The sequence below is a fragment of the Homo sapiens genome, chromosome 15, assembly GCF_000001405.40.
Source record: "Homo sapiens chromosome 15, GRCh38.p14 Primary Assembly".
NCBI classification, from domain to species: Eukaryota; Metazoa; Chordata; class Mammalia; order Primates; family Hominidae; genus Homo; species Homo sapiens.
Window position 1 is genome coordinate 57,382,806 of NC_000015.10, and position 19,910 is coordinate 57,402,715.

A 19,910-nucleotide genomic window follows, 5' to 3' on the forward strand; every position below is an offset into this window, starting at 1 on the left:
GTGAGGACCCCTTCCTCTCTAAGGCTGGGAGTTTGGGTATTCCAACTAGGACTGTTAAACTTTCAACAATGGGGCTCTTTTGACTTGATTACAAAAGAAAAGGAAATGGCCCAGTTTTCAAAGTCATGAAGAGGTTCTAGTATATCTTATGAACTAATATATATCCTTGAACTCTTTTGTAGCTGACAGTATTAAAAAAGGTTTGATTCCCCACCTTTTTTGCCTGTGTGGTTTTTATCTTCCTTTCTATAAACAATGACTTACTCAGAATTATACAGCAGCAGCTGAAAAGTTGATTAGCCTCCGTCCTTGCCCTAATCAAGTATCAAAAACCTGGAATGTTCACTTAGAGTGGTGATTACTGTGAAAGCTTTAGGTGCTGGAGAGGACCTGATAAAGAATGGAGTGAGAGATAAGAGAGAGAGAGAAAATAGCTTGCAAAGGGATTGCAGGGTGGAGTTTAACAAACTTAAGATTTCTTTCTTCCTTTTTTTTTTTTTGTTTTTTTGATACAGAGTTGCCCAGCCTTGTTGCCCAGGCTGGAGTGCAATGGCACAATCTCAGCTCACCACAACCTCCGCCTCCTGCATTCAAGCCATTCTCCTGCCTCAGCCTACTGAGTAGCTGGGACTACAGGCACGTGCCACGACGCCCGGCTAATTTTTTGTATTTTTAGTAGAGATGGGGTTTCACCATGTTAGCCAGGATGGTCTCTATCTCCTGACCTCGTGATCCGCCTGCCTCAGCCTCCCAAAGTGCTGGGATTACAGGCGTGAGCCACCACATCTGCCTTTTCTTTTCTTTTCTTTTCTTTTCTTTTCTTTTCTTTTTTTTTTTGAGATAATCTCACTCTGTTGGCCAGGCTGGAGTGCAGTGGTGTGATCACAGTTCACTGCAGCCTCAACCTCCCAGACTCAGGCTCAAGTGATTCTCCCACCTCAGCCTCCCGAGGAGCTGGGACCACAGATGCAGGCTACTATGCCTGGCTAATTTTTATGTGTGTGTGTGTGTTTTGTAGAAATGGGGTTTTGCCATGTTGCCCAGGCAGGTCTCTAATTCCTGAGCTCAAGCCATCCACCCACCTAGGCCTCCCGAAGTGCTGAGATTACAGGCGTGAGCCACCGTGCCCAGCCCAAACTTAAGATTTCTTTTACTTGTGAGTTTCAGGTTTGGGGCTTAAATGCATTTGGTCTGGTTGTGGCCAGACTAGCTCAGCCCTAACAGTCTGTGCTGCCTTGGGCCACCTATAAGCTTTGGGGAGTGGGGTGGGTGGGTTGGGAGGAGAAGGTAGGGTGAAGGGAGAGGGGAAATAGTGGGTAGGAGATAAGACCCACCAGTTAGCTGATTCTCCAGGCCTGGCTTGCTCATGGCATGACTGCTTCTCCCTGCAGGCCTGAGTCCAACTTTCTGGGTGTGAGGCAGCTGGATGGGGTACAAAAGAGGGAGAGAGTTGCCAGACACTTTCCAGGAGACCTGCCCAAGATCAGTAATTCTCATAATAGCAAATGCTCCCATAGCATTTGCCTCCAGCCCCATCCTAGAGCTTTTACTATAGCAATTCTATGGGATAGGTGCTATCATAAACCCATTTTACAGGCGATAGAAACAAGGCCACGGGAAATTGGGTAACTTGTCAAAGTGCTGAAATCCAGGGTTGAAACCCTTGCTGTCCGGCTCTGAGCTATGCTAACAACTACCACCTCATTAGGCATAGAGGCCTGGATGCTGCACCTGCTCTTCATTCATTCCTTGAACTCACCCACGTATTTCTTCAACAAATTATTGATAGCCTGTATATGCCTTTATCTTGGCAATGAGAACAACATAAGTGCTCTTTGTTTATGTGTCTGAATTCCCATAAACTTTATTTTCTTTCTTTTTTAAAAAAATTGCCATAAACTTTCAAACAAACCTTTAAAGAGACGAGACCTCTTTACTGACCTTGTATACCTGGTGTCTGGTAGAAAATAGGTGCTCAATAAAGCTTTGTGGAAGAAGGAAGAAAGACAGTGTTTTGAAACTTGACATCCTTGTATTTCCTCTGTCTCTAGCAGCCACAGTGATATCTAAACAGAAAAACAGACAAGCCTTAAGTAAAGTGAGAGTGTGTGGGGAGTGTTTTGCAAAAATAACAGGAGAGAATTTTTGATAAAAGCATGCTGTCTTGTATGCATTTCAAGTTCTCATGGTGAATCATTTTTTGCTTGTTTGCTTAAAGCATTTCTTATCTGAAGGGCATCCCGACACCCAGCTTGCAGACTACTGAGTGAATCAGGGAGGCCCTTCAGACTTCCATGCATTGTTCGGGGCTGCTCTTGTCATCAGGGTCTGCAGAATATATTTTCTTTGCAGTTGAGGACCAAATACCTGGTAAGGTTCAAGTCCACCATCCATTTTCCTGTTTAACATTTAAATGCATGAGCTAGTAGAAAGTAGTTTCACCTTGGGCTGGGTGAAGTGGCTCACGCCTATAATGCTAGCAGTTTTGGAGTCTGAGGCAGGCCGATCAGTTGGGATCAGGAGTTCAAGACCAGCCTAGCCAACATGGTGAAACCCTGTCCCTGCTAAAAATACAAAAAATTAGCTGGGCGTGGGGGCGCATGCCTGCATTCCCAGCTTGGCTTGAACCCAGGAGGCGGAGATTGCAGTGAGCTGAGATTGTGCCACTGCACTCCAGCCTGGGTGACAGAGAAAAATAAAGTAGTTTCATCTCCTGTATTTTCATTCCTTCTTCACACTGTGGGGCAAAGAAAGGTCTCATTCACTTGGATTGGAAGCTCTATTTGACGATCACTAGGAGTGATGGCTCTTTGGTTCCTCTTCCATTTCAGGTTTGTTTCCTCCTCTGTAAAATAGATGTAATGCCTACCCCATACAGTCAAGCCATATCTCTTTGACATAGTACAGTGGTTCTCAAACAGGGTCCCCCCAACCTCCCCACCCGGGGGTACATTTGACAATATCTGGGGGCATTCTTGGTAGTTATGACTGGGGTGGTGATGGCTCCTGGCATCTAATGGGCCAAGGCCAAGGATGCTGCTAAATATCCTTTGATTCAAAGGACAGTCCCCCACGGGAATTATCTGGCTTAAAATGTCAGTAGAGCCAAGGCTAAGAAACCCTGACAAAGTGGAACCTCAAACAACGGTAGCTCTTTTTAACATCTCTGATCCAAGGGAGCTATTGGCCAGGGACAAAGATCCCTCCTTTCTTAAGTAGGGTGGAAAGAATGGAATTTAACGTTTTATTGATGCCTCTGGGTTTCCCCACAGGTGCCCCTGAGGTGGGAACACCTCCTTTTCTCTCCATTAAACATGACTTAACTTCATTTGAAACTTGCTTGCATCGTTTACATATAAATAGCCATGCTAAAACCAGTGAAACCACTTAGCCTGTGGGGTGGTTAAACCCATTCCCTGCAGAGGACATTGGTGGAGTGGGGCCTGTGCTGCTACAGGCTTGTGAGCCTCGCTTTTCTCCCCTGTTAAAGGGCAGATAGGTAATTGTGTCACCCTCCCATCTCGTCATGTTGCTCTGACTCTGCACGTGTGAAACTAGCTCTACGTATGTGAATGTGCTGTGTGATTCCTAAGGTATGCCTTTTGAAGGCATTTTTCACGGGATCCGTTTCAGTCAAGGACACTAAAATGGTTGGGGCTCAACAAAGAATATCTGTGTTACGGGCATAGTAGGAGGCCCCCCAAATAGTTCCTGCAGCAGGGTGTGTGATTCGGGAAGCAGTGTGGCCCAGTGGTTGACAGCATGAGGTCAGCCACTCACAGGCTGCTCTGTGTACAACCTTTGGCTTTTCCCGTGCTTGTTGTGTGACCCTGGGTTAGCTACTTCACCTCGTTGCACCTCAGTTTCCTCACCTGTAAAATGAGGATAACGACAGTGACGACGATAACACCCAGCTGAAGATGGGTGCGAGGCTTCAGCGACTGGTCCTTGTGAGGTGTGCGGTGAAGATGGGAGCTTAGCTCAATAAATGAGTTGCTGTTAGTAAAATACTATTTGATGTTGGCTTGTAGCTTGTGTATTTTTACTCAGATGAAGAGCTTGCTCCTGATTTAGGAGCTGAAAAAGGATCTTTCTGGTTCTTGGTATTTTTTTTGGTGGCAAAATACAGCATAAAATCTCCATTTTAACCAATTTAAAGTGTACAGTGCAGTGGCATTAAGTACACTCACAATGTTGTGCAACCATCACCACTATCTAATTCCAAAACTTTTTCATCCCCCTGAAAGGAAACCCTGGACCCGTAGAGCAGTCACTCCACGTTCCTCCCTTCCCCCAGCCACTCCCTCCCTGCGAGCCCGCTCATCTATTTTCTGTTTCTGTGGAACTGCCTAGTCTAGATATTTCATATAAATGTATTTCATGCAATAGATGGCCTTTTGCATCTGGCTTCTTTCACTTAGCATAATGTTTTCAAGGTGCCATCTGTGTATTGTAACATGCACCAGCACTTCACCACTTTTTACCTGGTGTCTTTTTTGCAGAGCACCCCAAGCCTCAGTGTCATCAGGCCTGTGGTTCTCTGAAGTCATGCCCTGTTTTCAAGTTTTAAACTGTCTTTCTTCATTGATTTTGATCCTTCTTGGCCAGCCTTATTTTTTCCACTTTTCCCATCCAGTACTTCTAATGACCCTTGAAATGAATGTGGAATGAAGCCCTCATGCCAGGTTCTTGGTGCTGGGGAATAGGTCTTATTAGGTATCTTACTTCTGTGAAAGAATTAGCAGCAGGAGCACACATAGGGGCCCTGAGTGGTGCTTCATTTCCCCATGACTCTGCGTGACAGGTTTTAAAAACAAGTGTCTGGAAAACACCACCAGGCCCCTTTTATTCATCAGTTTAAAAGCTTCCCACAATGAGAAGTGGCCCTCAATTAAGTCGTTTAATAAAAACCTCCCCCTGTTTTAAAGCATTCTTGGGAAGTGTTTACATTTGACGCCACTGCAGGCTTCTAAATGAGGAGCTGTGGAGTGAGTGATCCTTAACCTGTGACTTTAATAATATCCTTTGCTTTAGATTTCCAGGTGGAGGCCTGGGCCAGATTTGTAGCTTGTCATTGACCCAGACTGGGTTCAGAGATGGGGGCTGGGCAGGGGGTGGAGGACATTCTTGGCTATCCTGCCCCCCTCAGCTGCCACTAGTAGAAGATTCAGAAAGGCTGAAAGCCACATAGATATGTAAAACCAGCTCCTTGGAGAGAGACTGGACTGGAAGGAGGTGAAGCATTTCCCTACCTGGGAAGGGCAGTTACCCTGCCCCACTTCTGACCTTATCTGCAGTGTCGGGGGGCTTCAGTGGGCAGAGATTAAAGCATTTAGGAGAGCAGTGCCAGGCTCCTGAGATTCTGGGGCCTTAGGGTCTGAGAGCTGGAGGAGGCTCTACTTTTTTCTCTGATTCTGGAGAGGTGAGTAGGCCCCGAGAAGAGGAAGCAGGCTGCTTTAGCTTCAGGGAAAACTCCGGAGTTGTCATTAGAGGAGTCCTGGGAAAAGCTAAAATAAAGAAAATTCTAGGGTGGTCTTTCCTTTGTGCTGGACGAAGACAGGAGGGTGAGGGGAGCCCGGAGCTGCTGACACGCACTGGTGATTTGTAGAGGTTGCCAAGGTGGGCAGTTAGCAGTCTGGATTCTGGGCCTGGACTGCCCGGATCTGAATCCTCCCTCCGGGGTTCTGTTCTATGAATTCTTGTGTGTCCAGTGCTCAGAGCAGTGTCTGCAGAGGTAGCTGTAGATATGTGTGCTCGCACGACTGTACTGACACTTCACTTTGGTGAGTTTCTGGTTAGAATCATAGAAATGCTTCTTGTTATCAGAGCTAATTTGCCTGCATACCTGGCAGCCTTGTGCAGTCCATGGGACAGGGTGATGTTACTGGACTCTGAAGAAAACATGACTCGCAGATGGAGAAATTATGCTTGGCAAATCTATTAAAGTTCTCCGAGGGAGAGAATAAATGTGGGAAGAAGGACAAACCAGTGGATCTAGATTTTATTTAGACTTCCAAAAGATTGTTGGAAAGACTTCATGGCAAAGGCTATTAGATGTGGGAGTCTCCCATGACTTTCTGAGTGGAGGTGAATGGAAGAAGGAGTCTGGCTGAAATTTGTCTTTTTCCATTGTCCTTTAGAGGAGGAATCTTCACATTTGCAGATGAAATAAAATTCTAAAGGTAAAAATGAAGACTTCGGAGTCAAACTATAGAGAGGTGTTTTTTTTTTCTTTTTAAATTTAAATTTTGGGCACGAGGGGATGTCAACTACCCTTTAAAATAATTCGTGATCAGTGGCTGCACCTGGGCAGCTGGGCTTTGGAACTAGGAATGATGTGTGTGCTGCTTTCTAGCAAAGTTAAAAATCATGTGCCTGGGGCATCAGAGTGCTCAGGAAATAAATGAAGATTAGTGGAACCAAGGAGTTCATTAAAAATGATTCAAGTTCCACTCCAGCCTGGGCAAAAAGAACAAAACTCCATCTCAAAAAACAAAAAACAAACCAAAAAAACCTGTAGTTTCCAACTGTCTTTTAAGTGAATAGTACATTTGTAGAAAAAGTAGATTCTGCTATCAACAAATGTAAGAGTTCACTTAAATGCACAGATGTTGAATTTCATGCCTTTTGTGTTTTAACCCAGGATAGTAAATGAATGAATGAAATGAGCAGACACTTTTTCAACACAGACCCTTCCCTCTCGCCCAATAGGATTTAGGAAGCTTGGAGTTACGCTTGACCAAAAAGACACGTGCAGGAGTTAGTTACCTTTGTGTTTTTCTTTTTACTCAGTGTCCTGTGGGCCTTGCCTGGTGCCTTATGTATAGGAGTGCTCTGTATGTGTTTGAATGATAAATGGACTCAGATTTCCTTAACATAAGCGTAAATATTTTATCATCGTGTGTCATTATGTGCCAGGCAAACTTAGTTATATTTGCTCTTACAATGGTTGTATTGGATATTGCTGCTTAATATTGCCGTGTAACAAGCAATCCCAGATCTCAGTTTTTTGTTTTTGTTTTTTTTTGAGATGGAGTCTCACTCTGTTGCCCAGGCTGGAGTACAGTGGTGCCACCTTGGCTCACTGCAACCTCCCACCTCCTGGGTCCAAGCGATTCTTCTATCTCAGCCTCCCAAGGAGCTGGGATTACAGGCACGTGCCACCACACCCAGCTAATTGTTATATTTTTAGTAGAGACAGGGTTTTGCCATGTTGGCCGGGCTGGTCTCGAACTCCTGACCTTGGGTGATCCACCTGCCTTGGCCTTCCAAAGTGCTGGGATTACAGGTGTGAGCCACCGCACCTGGCCCCAGATCCCAGTTCTTTATGACCACAAAGGTTCATTTTCCCCTCGCTCAGCTGTTGGTTGGGTGTGGTTTGGTTGAGCCAGGCTGTGCTTCACTTGGCCAAGCCAGACTCCAGGCTTCCATCTGGGTTGAGGTCTATTCCACATGTGTTTTATTCAGCAGCCCAGGCTGCAGGGGCAACAAATATGCAGGGCCAGCTTGCCTTGGGCAGATTACAGAGGCATAAGAAGGCAAGCAGAAATGCTGGAAGCCTCTTAAAGCTTTGGTCTATAAGCAGCCCACTGTCAGTTCTGCCAAGATTCCCTTGGCCAACACAAATTGCATTGTCAAGCCCCACATCAGCAGGGTGAGGAAGTATACCTGGCCAGTTCTAGTAGGAGGTAACTCGAAGTCATATGGCAAAGAAGGTAGATGTATATGGAGGAGCAAAGCACTGAGAACAATAATTTCATTCACAATGGTAGAGAATGAATAAGACGGAAGAGAGCAGTTTGGGCCAAACTAGCCTTTTGGGAGCTTGCGAGACCTAGGCTGACTGGGTGAAAAATCATATGCATTTGGTGCAGGTACCAGCCCAGGCCTTGGCATTTCCTGTACATTCGCTGGCATGCGCTGCCTCTCGGCTGGCTGGACATTGATCATATCCTTTCACTGCGATGGGGCTCGTGGGAGTGCTGCCTATCTGTGGGAGGAGCAGAAGGATGGGCCTGATTTTCTTCGGGTTAGCCATCATGACCTGACAGGCTGCCAGCTGTGGTGGCAGGAGTGTGACAAGCTGAGAGGGCAAAGAGGACAAAGAAGGACCACAGTGTTGAAGGAGGCCAGGGGCTTGCCTCAGCCTAAGTCCCACCTGTAATAGTCAGTGACAGGTTAGCATCAGTGCCTGTGTGTACCATGTCCCAATCTTCATAAGGATCCTAGGCTGTAGCTTCCAGACCCTGCCTTTTACATCCAAAGAAACAGGCTTCAGGAGGTGAGGTGACTTGTCTTCAGCCAACCAGCTCAAAAATGGCAGATGAGAGCCAGGCCACCCTGTTCCCAGTCTAGGGTCTGTCTTTCCACACCCTGTGGTTGTCATAGTCTAGCAGAGTCCGGACTGGTGTTGTGTGTTATAGTATATTCTGGCCCTGTGATGACAGAGTCTGCTTTGGAAGAAGCCATGTGAGCCTCGTGCCCATAAGGGATGACATAGGCGAAGCAGAATGAGTGAAATACTGGCCAATGATAAGCAGCCTTGCTGTTACTGCTTTGCAATGGGCCATTTCTTTAGTGAAGAGCTGCTAGACTTTGAGGAAGAAAAGGCTCTAGCCACTTGTGAAAATGAACCAGGAATAGATGGGGACCAAAACCTTGTAAAGCCAAGGGTGTGAGGAGACAGACACTCTCACATGTGCTGAGTGTGGGATTATAAATTCACTGGGCTTCTATCTAGAGAGCAGTTTGGCAATGGGGCTGCTTTTACTTGCAAGTAAACAAAACTCAGTTGAAGGTGGTTTACATAAGAATAAAAACAGCAAAAAGTGGTTAAAAAGTGGTTTAAATAAGACATTTCAAAATGACATTTGTTACCTCATGTAAACAAGAAGTCCAAAGTCTGGGCTGTTGGGGGAGTTAGTTTGAAGACCCAGGCTTATTTCCTCTTTCCTCGCCTCAGTGTTTGATGTTTGCCTTCAAGCTTGTTTCCTCATGATCTCAGTGTGGCTGTTGCTGCTCCACCCATCGTATCCTTATTCCATATCCTTATTCAGAGTGATGTCCACAGGCAGGAAAAGAGGAAAGAACAGAAAAGATGCAAATCAGCATGTATTCTGAGATCCCATTTTTTTGTTCGCAAAAATAAACACCTTCACATTTTTCTTTCCCCCCCCTCACCTGACACCATCACAATAAAAGTCTTAATTTTTTCAGCACCATAAGATGGTGAAAAAAAAGTCTTAATTTTTGATTGTGAATATCAATTTCTGGAACCAAGAATTTTGGTTATTTCTGGGCCATGGGATGGTGCTGTGGTTTTGTTTTCCATTTCATGCCCTTCTTGGCTGTTTGAATTTTATAAATATCACTGCATGTATTACCTTTATAATACAAAAGAAAGTGATAGGTGTTTTCTTAGTAGGGGTGGGAGATATTAAAGAGAGGAAACCAAGGCCCTAACAGGGGCATTATCTGAGACATGATGTGATAGGATAGGAGTGCATTTAGCTGTGTGTGATCAGCCTAGAGGGAGGTTGGGGAAGGGGAAAAGTCCAGGAGTGAAATAAGGTCATTTTAAATCTCTTTTGGTACCTGGCACAGTGTCTTCTACCTAGTAGAGACAAAAACTCATTTGAAGTATGAATGAATGTTTAGGTCAAGACCTAACACAACTTTATGAGGGGCTGAAACCCAACCAAGCAGCTCAAGTCAGCAAGAAAGTACATTCTGCTGGAAATTTATCTTGCAAAGAAGTATGACTGTCATTTCCTACCTTTTCCTTGAGCTCCCAGAATCTAATTCATTGCTAAGGAAACAGTGTAAGTATGAGACCTTCTGTTCATCATCTGTCTCCTACTGAAGGCTATTGTCCCAGGATCTGGATAATAAAGCTGTATAAGGTTTTTACAACTGAGGGTAGAGCAAAGGCAAGAAACCACCATCTCATGTTAACTGTGTTAATAGTCTGTGGCTTGAATGGAGTCTAGATGTTTAAAGTCTACTAAGTGTAGAATGAACAGTCATTTTTTTTTAAAGGAAAAATAAAGTTCTTTGATACCCTGGACTAATACATAAAAAATTGTTATCTTAATGATGTGACACAGATAACAGTTGTGAGATAGGGATTTTCAACCTGATTGGCCAGTATTAGTAGAAGAGTGTGAATATGCCTGTTGGTGAGATGAAAGAATTATATGTAGTGGTATTTTCAAGTCTAATTCTCTTCCATATACAAAAATAAAATGGGTATTGAAGGCCTTTTTAATGGCAAGGGTGGAAGGAGGGGAGGTAGAGTACTACCCTTACATTGTGCCATAGTCTTAATTCCCTTGCTCCAGGGTTCTAAGTTTGATGCTCATAAATCAAAAGAAAGAATGTTGTAACTGACATTTCTATTGAGTTACTTTTAACTTTTGTACCCTTGGGTTTTAGCATTGAGGCCTTCTGCAATGGCCACCGGATACCCACTTTATTCAGACAATGATAATATCGTTGAGCTATGGTAAGATCATTTCCTTTGGAACAAAATGAAAAGCTTTCAGTGTTCACAATTGGAGGAAAATGTAAAAGCTTAGTAGGCCTCCTCTGCTGCAGGGTGAAGAGTTTGTGTTTGAACACCATCCACTTTGCTCCTCAAATGTGCAGTGGAATGATTCCAGTGTGCTTTTGAAATACAGAAAACAAGTGTACCTTTTCAGTGTGTGTGTGTATTTATGCATGTGTGTGTTTAATGGGTTCTTGGAAATACTTGGAAGAAAAGTAATATTTAACATCTTTTTTTGGGATCATTTTGGGATCCAAAGAATCTGAGATCATTGGTACGTTATGTTCCAGAGTAGCCCCGAGTTAAATTTCTTGAGAGAGAGAGAAAGTGCATGTGTTTGTGTGTGTGCATAAGTATTACTCTAAAGACCAAATGTCATGCTTACTTGACATGATCTTAGTATATATCCTTATCTGCTTCTCAGTCTATATTATATCTGCAGATTTTGTGACTAAGTGGTGTAATTTTACATGAATTCTGCATCTGCATCAGAAAGTATGATAACAATTAATGATACTAACACTTCTATGTCACTAAACAGTGCTTGATACTGTTCTAAGTACTTAACATGTATTAACTTTTTTTTTTTTTTTTTTTAAAGCCAAAGCCTTTTGTCACCCAGGCTGGAGTGCCATGGCACGATCATGGTTCACTGCAGCCTCAGCCTCCTAGGCTCAAGCCATCCTCCCATCTCAACCTCCCGAGTAGCTAGGACCACAGGCACGCACCACCAAACCAGGGTAATTTCTGTTTGTTTTTTTTTTTTTTTTTGAGATGGAGTTTCGCTCTTCTTGTCCAGGCTGGAGTACAAGCTCATGTTGCCCAGGCTGGAGTACAATGGCGTGATCTTGGCTCACGGCAACCTCCACCTCCCGGGTTCAAGCGATTCTCCTGCCTGAGTAGCTGGGATTATAGGCATGTGCCATCAAGCCCAGCTAATTTTTTGTATTTTTAGTAGAGATGGGGTTTCTCCATGTTGGTCAGGCTGCTCTCGAACTCCCGACTTCAGGTGATCCACCTGCCTCAGCCTCCCAAAGTGCTGGGATTACAGGCGTGAACCACCATGCCCGGCTTATTTGGTTTTTATAGTAACGCTATTGATTCCATTTTTACCAAGGAACTGAGATACAGAGAGATTTAGTAACTTGCCCAAGGTGACATAACTAGTAAATGGTGGGGGTAGGTTCAAAATCAGGCAGTTTGCTATTTCTTATTTAAAGCCACAATTCATGAGAATTGAGCCATTCTCAAATGTACAGGTTATTCTTGTAAATTGGAGACTATTGTATCAGTGTTACAAATGACCTATTGTAATCTCCCATCCAAGAACTAACCATTTCTGACCCTGCTTAGTGTCAATAGTCAGGTGCATTCAGGGTGGTGTGGCTGGAGATGATCTTATATGATCTGAGCCCCTTGCTTCATGAACAATATTTTCAGTTACTTTACACAGTAAGCACGTACTTAAACAATTATTTGGCTGGGCGCAGTGGCTCATGCCTGTAATCCCAGTACTTTGGGAGGCTGAGATGGGAGGCTCACTTGAGGTTAGGAGTTCGAGACCAGCCTGGCCAACATGGTGAAACCCTGTCTCTACTAAAAATACAAAAATTAGCTGTGCATGGTGGCATACGCCTGTAGTCCCAGCTACCTGGGGGTTGAAGCAGGAAAACTGCTTGAACCTGGGAGGCGGAGGTTGCGGTGAGCTGAGATCATGCCACTGCACTCCAGCCTGGATGACAGAGTGAGACTCCGTCTCAAATAAACAAACAAACAAAAACCCCACCAAACCAAAAAACCCAATTATTTTAATTATAAATCTGAACTGCATTAAAAGATAGTAAATTTAGCTAGTCAACTTGAATAACTTTTAACAGAGAGTTAGTTGTCTCTTCTGTTTCCTTAGGGAAGAAAGATGAGTTCCTTCAGTTCCCAAATGAGTCCTCAATTCAACATGAGTGATTTCACCAGAATAAAATCTTCTTACTTCTGCAAAAAGCAGCTAATGCTTTCGGAAGCTAAATAATCCCAATGTGTGACTCCTGCCAGTTTCTTTTCTTTGAAACCTCAGCAGCAGCATAACTAGTGATTCACCCTTCTTGAAATGAATGCTGTGATTCGCGTTATGCACAGATGGCTACTGAATGCCCAGGTCACAGCCTTTGCGTCTGGCCTTGACTCGTTAATAAGAACAGGAACTGGGCATGGTGTATTGCACAGTGATTAAGGGCTTAAAGCTAAGAGCAGTGCCTGGCCCCAAGTAAGACATGAGTAGAACTTTGCTGCTGCTATTTTTGCTGTTGTATATTGGGCTCTACCTTGTGCTGGGCACTACGTTAAGCACGCTATGTGCATTGCCTAATTGAATTCTCATCACATTCCCATGAAGTAGTTGATGGTTTTGTTTTTATCTTCATTTTCAAATGTAGAAACTGAAGCTTAAGGTTATGACATTTGCCCAAGACCATGCAGCTGGTAAGTGGTTAGCGCCATGGTACGAACCAAGTTAAAAAACATTTTTTTTAATTCATAAATTATAATGTACAGAATCTTCTAGAAGCTTTCTTGTGCCTCCTCCTGATTGTTATTTTTCAACAAAGTTGCCTACTATTCTATCACCACAGAAAAGCTTTGACTGTTCTTGAACTTCATAAAAACAGAATCATATTCATACAGTATGTACTCTTTGTATTTGGCTTTTTTTACTTAGTATTATGTTTGTGAAATTCATCCATTGATGTGAAATACATGGATTTGCATGTAGCGATAATTTGTTTTTCCTCATTGCTAAATATATTGCTACATTTCTTATTGTATAGTTTAATGTACAAATATGCCTCACTGTTGATCTCTTCTACTGTTGATGGACTTTGGTTGTTTTTAGTTCTTGGTTGTTATTTATTGTGCTACTTACTTTCTTTCTTTGTTTTTTTTTTTTTTTTTGGAAACAGTCTCCTCTGTTGCCCAGGCTGGAGTACAGTGATGTGATCTCAGCTCACTGCAACCTCCACCTCTGGGTTCAGGTGATTCTTCTGCCTCAGCCTCCCAAGTAGCTGGGGCTACAGGTGCATGCCACCATGCCTGGCTAATTTTTAATTTTTAAAAGAGACAGGGTTTCGCCATGTTGGCCAGGCTGGTCTTGAGCTCCTAACCTCAAGTGATCTTCCTGCCTTGGCCTCCCAAAGTGCTGGGATTATAGGTGTGAGCCACCATGCCTGGCCTAATTGTGTTCATTCTTGTACATGATTTGTATACGTATACGGCTCTTTGAGTACATTTCTAGGTCAGCACTGCTGGGTCTTAATAGGTGTGGAGCTGTATTCTATACTGTGAAACTGTTTTCTACACTCCCACCTAGCAGAGGGTTCAGTGGTTCTGTCCTAACACTGTAATGACTATCATCATTCTGGTGGGTGTGTAGTAGAATCCATATCAAACTTGATATGGATTTTGACTCCATAGCCTATGGACTTACCTGGTAAGAACAATTTTAACAATTATAGCGCTCTTGCTATACGGAAGGTGTTGTGCTGATATGTAATAATGAATATAACTTGATTTCTGCCCTCTAGGAGTTTATAGTCCAGTGGAAGAGAAAGACTCAGAAATCACATAATCATAGTCCAACACAGAATCCATGCATAGGGCACTGTTGGAGCACTGGGAGAGTCTACTTCAATCTGTGGGTTCAGGACGGGGTCGCTAAAGTCTTGCAGAAAGAAGTCAGTCTTCTGGGATATGGCTTCTTCGGGAAGGTGACATTTAACCTGAGGCTGGGGGGGATGAAAATAGAGTCATGTGAAGAGGAATGGATCAGAAGCCTGTGTAGCCACAGGGAGGAAGTGAACAGGTGATGGTAGGCTGAGGTCAAAGAGCCCTGGAGTCCATGGCATTTGTAAACCATTGCTGGCCTTGAAGTAGAGAGCCAATGTTGCTATGAAGCAGTCAAAACGGTTCTCCTTCATCAGCCTGTGACCCACAGGGGACCCGCAGGCCTTTGTGGAGGCTGCCTCCATTTGGCGGAGTGGTGGTGTTGGAGAAAATGGCCTTACTGACTCCTGAACTAGGAAGCTCCTGATCCTAACTCTCTTAGTATCTCATCTTGCGAATTACTAAGACAGGGTCTTTAAGATGTCTTATTTATTTTTTGATGTACATTTTGTAAATTAATTTTTATAATGCTTCAAAAGCTAATTTTTAAATTATAAAAGTAATAGAATCACATTACAGAAGCCAGAAAATGGAGAAAAAACCCCCACTATCATTTTATTATATAGTTTTTCCCATCGTTTTAATTGTAGGGTATAGATTATTTTATGTTATCCCCGTGTCCTTTGACATGTGACGAGCCTTTTTTCTTGATTATGTAGTCTTCATTACTATTTTATTATTGTAGAATATGAAGTGGAACACCTTGTACCACTTAAATTTCCTCTTTTTTTTTTTTTGGAGATGGAGTCTCTCTCTGTCGCCCATGCTGGAGTGCAGTGGTGTGATCTCAGCTCACTGCAATCTCCACCTCCTGGGTTCAAGCCATTCTCCTGTCTCAGCCTCCCGAGTAGCTGGGATTATAGGTGCGTGCCACCACACCATGCTAATTTTTGTATTTTCAGTAGAGATGGGGTTTCTTCATGTTGGTCAGGCTGGTCTTGAACTCCTGACCTCGAGATGCGCCTGCCTCAGCTTCCCAAAGTGCTGGGATTACAGGCGTGAGCCACCATACCCAGCACCATTTAAATTTCAATCTTTCTTTCACTTTTAATTGTAATGAGAAAAAACCAATAGATGCTTATTGTAAAGCATTTGGAAAATACAGAAAAGTATAAGATGAAAATTAAAAACTTTTCAGTTCTACCATGAAGATAAACACATGTTAATATTTGGGTATATTTCTTTTTTCCCCTCTGCTTTTATTTACATATATGTATGCTTTTCTTTCCTTTTTTGTTTTTTTGAATACAAATTGGGGTTTTTTTTCCTGCAAGCAAGATACTGTTAATGGGGATTTTGGATGGCCATATAATGAAATAGGAAAACGATTAATGGAAGCCCAGGAGGAAAGACTTGGTGTTATTATAGGTTTGTATCATATCACCATTTTCCTGTTCTATTTGGAGGAAGAGGGAAAGGGGAAAGGAAGCCAGCCCTTATTGTGTGCCTGCCACGCACCTGGTCCTGCAGTGCTGGGAAGCACTGTGAGCTCTGACTCCCAGAAAAGTAGACGCTGGCACTGTGGGAAAGTGGGACCCTCATGGCAGCGTGTTGTTTGAAAAACCAGTCTTTCAAACATAATAACTGAGCATGTTGGAAAACCAGGCTGGCGTCATGGTGTAAATTGAGTTTACTCAAACCGGCAGGTTGTTGGGAAGGTACACATACCTCTATTGTTTTAACCCACTTGAAGATTAAAATGTGGGAAGAGCATTTTGAATAGAGAACACCGTACTTTATCATTTGGTGCAGAGGCCTTGTATTTTTAACAAAAATTGCCCCAAAGTTTCCTCCAAATGCATTAAATCCATGTTTTTGTTGTTTAACCATGAATATTTTGAAAAAATTTATTATTTTGAAAATCCAGGCCCTTTAAATTTTATTTTTGCTCTCACAAATCCTTCTTTCCTTTTGAGTTGGCACATAATTGTACATACTTATGAGAAAACAAAGTGATATTTTGATACATGTATACAATGTGTGATGAACATTAATAGAGGATTGGCTAAATTATGATATATATAAAGTGCTCAGAGAGGTGGAGGAGGTAATAAGATAGAAGGTGGACTTTTTAGGGAAGTCCTTTAGAGTAATTAGTATATTCATCACCTCAAACATTTGTCAGTCCTTTGCATTGTGAACATTTGAAATCCTATCTTCTAGCTATCTGAAAATGTACAATAAATTAACTTATTTCTCCTATCTAGCTGTAACTTTGACCTGTTCACCAACTTCTTTCTATCCTACCCTCTTCTCTACCTTTCCTAGCCTCTAATAACCATGATTCCACTCTCTACTTCTTCAATATTTAATTTAATCCCCAAATTCTAATTGTAGTCCATATTTGAATACTTCATATTATTGGTCACAATTTTGGGCTTTGTATTATTGGTCACAATTTTGGTTGATTATTTTTTGAAAAGTAGAATCTTGTTTTTTGAAGCCAGGCTTAATCACCTGAAGACCCAGGACATCTATAGTTGTTTTTTTTTTTTTTCCTAACAAAATTCTGTATGCGGAAAATAGGAAAAATAATACAAGAAAGACACAAGAAATGGACAGTGCTACATTTCTGATTTTACATCTTCATGACAATGAGTAAAGATCTCTGAGTTTTGTCTTCGGAGCGGAGTATGGAATCTGTCCATTGAGGATTGCAGGTCGAGTGCAGGGGCTCATGCCTGTAATCCTAGCACTCTGGGCGGGGAGCCTCCAGCACTGAGGCTGGAGGATTGCTTCAGCCCAGGAGTTTGAGACCAGCCTGGGCAACATGGTGAGACCCCATCTCCATGAAAACTTAGACACTAAATAAAACTCACTATTTTCATTCTTATTAATCTTATTTATTACTTGGAGATATCCTTAGAGGCTCTAGGTGTGTAAGTCTCCTTGTTCCTACCCTAAATAGCTATAGAAATTGCTGTATTTCTAATACCTTTTTTTTTTTTTTTAATGGGGTCTCACTGTGTCACCAAAGTGGTGGTGCAGTGGCATAATCAAAGCTCACTGCAGCTTCAAACTCCTGGGCTCAAGTGATCTTCCTACCTAAGCCTCTCGAGTAGTTGGGAGTAGAGATGTGCACCATCATGCCTAGCCAAGTTTTAAATTTTTTTGTTTGTAGAGATGGGGGTCTTGCTATGTTGGCCAGGCTGGTCTTGAACTCCTGACCTCAGGCCCGCCTCGGCCTCCCAAAGTGCTGGGATTATAGGCGTGAGCCATTGCACCCAGCCTCTTCTCATTCTTAGGTCTGCCTTTTGTGGTTCTTCTGTCACTTTCTGTAACTGATACTGTTAGCAGCTTATGCTTTTGTTGCTTCTACTTGGCTTTGGGCTAAGGATTGTAACTTCCATCTGTGTCAAGTTGTGTGTGAAGGAGGCTGAGTTTGAATTGTGTTTTATGCTGGGTGCTGTGCTTGAGGCAGCTTGTTGCCTAAAAAGAAAATGGTGGGCTTCACAGCACACACAGCTTTGGATGCTCAAAGCCCATTTGAGCTTCCATTCACTTATTTTCTTTCTTATTGTAAAAACAATACATGTTTGTGCGGGCATGGTGGCTCATGCCTGTAATCTCAGCATTTTGGGAGGCCAAGGCGGGCGGATCATCTGAGGTCGGGAGTTGGAGACCAGCCTGGCTAACCTGGTGAAACCCTGTCTCTACTAAAAATACAAAATTTAGCTAGGCTTGGTGGCGCCTGCCTGTAATCCCAGTTACTTGGGAGGCTGAGGCAGGAGAATCGCCTGAACCTAGGAGGTAGAGTTTGCAGTGAGCCAGGATTGCACCGTTGCACTCCAGCCTAGGCGACAGAATGAGACCCTGTCTCAAATTAAAAAAAAAAAAAAAAAAAAAAAAGGCATGTTTGCAATGAAAATTGAAGCATTACAAAAATGTGTTATTTAAATGAAAGGTACCCTGTTTTATCATCTCTAGTCATAACTACGCTTTAAGGATTTGATAATTTTTTTTTAGATTTTTCTGTAACTTTATATTTTTTACAGAGATGGGGTTACTCTATGTTATTTTGGTACTGATTTTTGTATTTTTAAAAATATATTTGTATACTTTCTATGGCTGTGTATATAAATTTTTGTTGGTTGTTTTTAATAGCTTCCTGGTGTTCCTTGGTATAGATATATCGTAATTTAGCCAATCTTCTATTAATGGATATTTGGACTATTATAAATACCTCATATATAAGTATTTGTACTCTCTGAAGTGTTTGTATAATTCTTCTGTTCAGAGTTAATTACTGGAAATAGGGTTGGACGGTGTATACATTGAGCCAGTGCGCCCAGCTGCTTTTTTCTTTTTTAAATGCAGAATTTTAAGCCTCAACTCCAAACCGTCCGTCAGAATTTCCAAGAATGGGTCTCAGGGATTTGAATTTTTAAAAAGTTCCCAAGTGATTCTGCTGGTGCCCGAGTTCTAGCATGCCTAAGACATTTCCTTACCAGCTCGAGTGTTTCATAAAATATGTTCAATTCAAAGGTGGATGGTTGTGGAAAATTATTCAAAACAGCTTCAACCTGATGAAGTGTTTAGTTGTCCTTGAAGAATCATTTCATTTGAGCCTTCATGCTTTAATACCTATCCTTTTTTCTACTACCAATTCTTCTGAACTTAGTAGCACTCCAAATTGGCTCATTCTCAAATTTCCTTATGACGCATTCTGTGGTAAAGACTGCTAATTTTATATCCAGCAGTCTTTATATTCTCCTCTTCTTCAGTAACCAAAAACTTGATTTTTTTGGAGGGTGTACAGTGTGCCATGCCAAAAGACAGTATTTCCCAGCCTCCCCTTCTCCTGTTGATGGGCTAGTGAGTTAAGCTCTAGTAAGTGAAATGTGAAGGCTTGTGGAAAGGTTCTAGGGACTGACTTCTATGGACAATGTACCCTTTTTCTTTTTCTCTGTCCTTCTACATACTGCTTGGAACATGGACACAATGGCTGAAGTCCAGCAGCCATCTTGGATTGTGAGGTAACGATGAAGATGGAAGCCATGTGATATGGCTTGGATGTTTTGTCCCCTGTAAATCTCATGTTGAATTGTAATCCCCCATGTTAGAGGTGGGGCCTGGTGGGAGGTGTTTGGGTCATGGGAGTAGATCCCTCATGAATGGCTTGGTGCTCTCCCCATAGTGAGTGAGTGAGTTCTTGTTCTATTTCATGTGAGAGCTGGTTGCTTAAAAGGGTCTGGCACCTCTGTTGCTCCTGCTCTTGCCATGTGGCATGCCTACTCCATCTTTACCTTCTGCCATGAGTAAAAGCTTCCTGAGGCCTCACTAGAAGCTGAGCAGATGCTGGTGCCATGCTTGCACAGCCTGCAGAACCGTGAGCCAAGTAAACCTCTTTTCTTTATAAATTACACAGCCTCAGGTATTCCTTTACACCAATGCCAAATGGACTAGCACACCATGCTCTAAGTAGGGCATAAAGAAAGGAGCCTGGATCCCTAATGACTGCAGAGCCATGATCCCAGCCCTGGACTGCTTGCCTCCACACTTCTGTCTTATTGGTTAAGCCAAAATTATTTTGGGTTTTCCGTTACATGCTGCAGAACCTAACCTAATGAATACCCCTGCTCTCTGTTGGTTTCACAGTGTGTCTCCAACACCATCTTGAAGGTGCAGTGACTTGCATATAGTAGGTGCTTGG

At 42.8% G+C, this 19,910-nt stretch overlaps 1 protein-coding gene across 19 annotated transcripts in view, besides 1 other annotated feature; it reads left to right on the top strand.

Moving 5' to 3' along the window:
• CGNL1 (cingulin like 1) overlaps nucleotides 1-19,910 on the top strand; it is a 174,213-nt gene that overhangs the window by 6,301 nt on the left and 148,002 nt on the right. For 9 of the 19 annotated variants that reach the window (XM_047433184.1, XM_047433186.1, XM_047433185.1 and 6 more), the window contains one exon: nucleotides 19,856-19,909. The exons of 5 other annotated variants lie outside the window; for them this stretch is intronic. The gene's annotated coding sequence lies outside the window, so the exon portion shown is untranslated. Of the gene's footprint in view, nucleotides 1-11,583; nucleotide 19,910 lie in introns of those variants that run through there. 5 more of the 19 variants (XM_047433181.1, XM_005254727.6, XM_047433191.1 and 2 more) reach the window with 4 other exon arrangements.
• Nucleotides 4,769-5,353: an enhancer, noted in NCBI's record as "H3K27ac hESC enhancer chr15:57679772-57680356 (GRCh37/hg19 assembly coordinates)". NCBI's record gives its function as "activates a minimal SCP1, AML or CMV promoter by ChIP-STARR-seq in primed H9 embryonic stem cells {active_cell/tissue: H9 hESC(primed)}" and the evidence as "EXISTENCE:reporter gene assay evidence [ECO:0000049][PMID:30033119]".